At 45.4% G+C, this 3678-nt stretch overlaps 1 annotated feature.

The window, feature by feature from the left end:
* Nucleotides 2801-3452: an enhancer, noted in NCBI's record as "OCT4-NANOG hESC enhancer chr1:217555074-217555725 (GRCh37/hg19 assembly coordinates)". NCBI's record gives its function as "activates a minimal SCP1, AML or CMV promoter by ChIP-STARR-seq in naive H9 embryonic stem cells {active_cell/tissue: H9 hESC(naive)}" and the evidence as "EXISTENCE:reporter gene assay evidence [ECO:0000049][PMID:30033119]".

Consider the following 3678-nt stretch of genomic DNA (forward strand, 5'->3'; position numbering starts at 1 on the left):
GAAGGTCACATAAAGATGGTAGGATTTGGTAAGAGGCACTCCTGGAGACAATGATCAACTAATTAATTGAATAAAACATTTTTCATGGGCTTAAAAAAAGTAAGAAGGGCCGGGTGTGGTGGCTCATGCCTGAAATCCCAGCACCTTGGGAGGCCGAGGTGGGCAGAACACTTGAGGTCAGGAGTTTGAGACCAGCTTGGCCAACATGTTGAAACCCTGTCTCTACTAAAAATACAAAAATCAGCTGGGTGTGGTGGCAGGCACCCATAATTCTAGCTACTCAGGAGGCTGAGGCAAGATAATCGTTTGAACCTAGGAGGCAGAGGTTGCAGTGAGCTGAGATCATGCCAGTGCACTCCAGCCTGGGCAACAGAGTGAGACTGTCTAAAAAAAAAAAAACAAAAAAAAAAAAACGATTAGGGAGAGCTGGGCAAGAGCTGGGCAAGATGGCTGAATGGGAACAGCTCTAGTCTGCAGCTCCTAGCAAGAACAATGCACGAGGCAGGCGATTTCTGCATTTCCAACTGAGGAGGTACCTGGCTTATCTCATTGGGACTGGTTAGAGAGTGGGTGCAGCCCAGAGAGGGCAAACAGAAGCAGGGTGGGGCATTGCCCCACCCAGGAAGCACATGGGGTCAGGGAAAGCTTCCCTAGCCAAAGGAAGCCCTGAGGGGCTGTGCCCTGAAGAATGGTGCATTCCAACGCAGATATTATGCTTTTCCCACGGTCTTCACAACCTGCAGACCAGGAGATTCTCCTGGTACCTACACCACCAGGGCCCTGGGTTTCAAGCACAAAACTGGGCAGCCATTTGGGCAGACACTGAGCTAGCTGCAGGAGTTTTTTTTCATACCCCAGTGATACCTGGAATGCCAGCAAGAGAGAACCATTTACTCCCCTGGAAAGGGAGCTGAAGCCAGGGAGCCAAGTGGTCTAGCTCAGCAGATCCCACCCCTTGGAGCCCAGCAAGCTGACATCCACCAGCTTGAAATTCTTGCTGCCAGCACAGCAGTCTGAAGTTGACCTGGGACTCTGGAGTTTGGTGGGGGGAGGGGCGTTCACCATTATTGAAGTTTGCGTAAGAGGTTTTCCCCTCACAGTGTAAACAAAGCCGCTGGGAAGTTCAAACTGGGCATAAGTTCGAACCGCAGCTTGGGAAAGATGCTGTAGTCAGACTGCCTCTCTAGATTCCTCTCTGGGCAGGGCATCTCTGAAAGAAAGGCAGCAGCCCCAGTAAGGGGCTTATAGATAAAACTCCCATCCCCCTGGGTCAGAGCACTTGGGGGAAGGGGTGGCTGTGGGCACAGCTTCTGCAGACTTAAATGTTCCTGCCTGATGGCCCTGAAAATAGTAGCAGATCTCCCAGCACAGCGCTCGAGCTCTGCTAAGGGACAGACTGCCTCAAGTGGGTCTCTGACCCCCATGCCTCCTGACTGGCAGACACCTCCCGGCAGGAGTCGACAGACACCTCATACAGGAGAGCTCCGGTTGGCATCTGGCGGATGCCCCTCTGGGATGAAGCTTCCAGAGGAAGAAATAGGAGCAATCTTTGCTGTTCTGCAGCCTCTACTGGTGATACCCAGGCAAACAGGGTCTGGAGTGGACCTCCAGCAAACTCCAGCAGACCTGCAGCAGAGGGGTCTGACTGTTAGAAGGAAAACTAACAAATAGAAAGGAACGGCATCAACATCAACAAAAAGGATGTCCACACAAAAACCACCTCCGAAGGTCACCAACACCAAGACCAAAGGTAGATAAATCCACGAAGATGAGGAAAAATCAGCGCAAAAAGCCTGAAAATTCCAAAAACCAGAATGCCTCTTCTCCTTTAGAGGATCACAACTCCTGGACAGCAAGGGGACAAAACTGGACTAAGAATGAGTAGGCTTCAGAAGGTGGATAATAACAAACTCCTCCAAGCTGAAGGAGCATGTACTAACCCAATGTAAGGAAGCTAAGAACCCTGAAAAATGGTTGGAGGAATTGCTTACTAGAGTAACTAGTTTAGCGAAGAACATAAATGACCTGATGGAGCTGAAAAACACTGCACGAGAACTTCCTGAAGCATACACAAGTATCAATAGCTGAATTGATCAAGCAGAAGAAAGGATATCAGAGATTTAAGATCAACTTAATGAAATGAAGCACGAAGACAAGATTAGAGAAAAAAGAATGAAAAGGAATGAACAAAGGCTCCAAGAAATATGGGACTATGTGAAAAGACCAAACCTACGTTTCATTGGTGTACCTGAAAGTGACAGGGAGAATGGAACCAAGTTGGAAAACACCCTTCGGGATATTATCCAGCAGAACTTTCCCAACCTAGCAAGACAGGCCAACATTCAACTTCAGGAAACACAGAGAACACCACAAAGATACTCTTCGAGAAGAGCAACCACAAGACACACAATCCTCAGATTCACCAAGGTAGAAATGAAGGAAAAAATGTTAAGGGCAGCCAGAGAGAAAGGTTGCGTTATGCACAAAGGGAGTCCCATCAGACTAACAGTGGATCTCTCTGCAGAAACCCTACAACCCAGAAGAGACTGGGGGGCAATATTCAACATTCTTAAAGACAAGAATTTTCAATCCAGAATTTCATATCCAGCCAAACTAAGCTTCATAAGTGAAGGAGAAATAAAACTTTTTACAGACAAGCAAATGCTGAGAGATTTTGTCACCACCAGGCCTGCCTTAGAAGAGCTCCTGAAGGAAGCACTAAACATAGAAGGAAAAACCAGTACCAGCCACTGCAAAAACATACTAAATTGTAAAAAAACAAACAAACAAACAAACAAACAAAAACCTACTAAATTGTAAAGACCATTGACACTTTGAAAAAACTGCATCAAGTAACTGGAAAAATAACCAGCTAGCATCATAATGATAGGATCAAATTCACACATAACAATATGAACCTTAAATGTAAATGGGCTAAATGCCCCAGTTGAAAGTCACAGACTGGAAAATTGGATAAAGAGTTAAGACTCATCGGTGTGCTGTATTCAGGAGAACCATCCCACGTGCAAAGACACACAGAGGCTGAAAACAAAGGGATGGAGGAACATTTACCAAGCAAATGCAAAGCAAAAAACAGCAGGGGTTGCAATCCTAGCCTCTTTGATAGAACAGACTTTAAGCCAACAAAGATCAAAAAAGACAAAGAAGGGCATTACATAATGGTAAAGGGATCAATGCAACAAGAAGAGCTAACTATCCTAAACATATATGCACCCAATACAGGAGCACCCAGATTCATAAAATAAGTTTGTAGAGACTTGCGAAGAGACTTAGACTCCCACAGAATAGCAGTGGGAGATTTTAACACCCCACTGTCAATATTAGACAGATCAATGAGACAGAAAATTAACAAGGATATTCAGGACTTGAACTCAACTCTGGACCAAGAAGACCTAATAGACATCTACAGAACTCTCCACCCCAAATCAGCAGAATATACATTCTTCTCAGCACCACATCACACTTAGTCTAAAATTGACCACATAATTGGAAGTAAAACACTCCTCAGCAAATGCAAAAGAACAGAAATCATACCAAACAGTCTCTCAGACCACAGTGCAATCAGACTAGAACTCAGGATAACTCACTCAAAACCGCACAACTACATGGAAACTGAACAACCTGCTCCTGAATGACTACTGGGTAAATAACGAGATT

This window comes from Homo sapiens, chromosome 1 (genome assembly GCF_000001405.40).
Source record: "Homo sapiens chromosome 1, GRCh38.p14 Primary Assembly".
In the NCBI taxonomy this organism is placed as follows: Eukaryota; Metazoa; Chordata; class Mammalia; order Primates; family Hominidae; genus Homo; species Homo sapiens.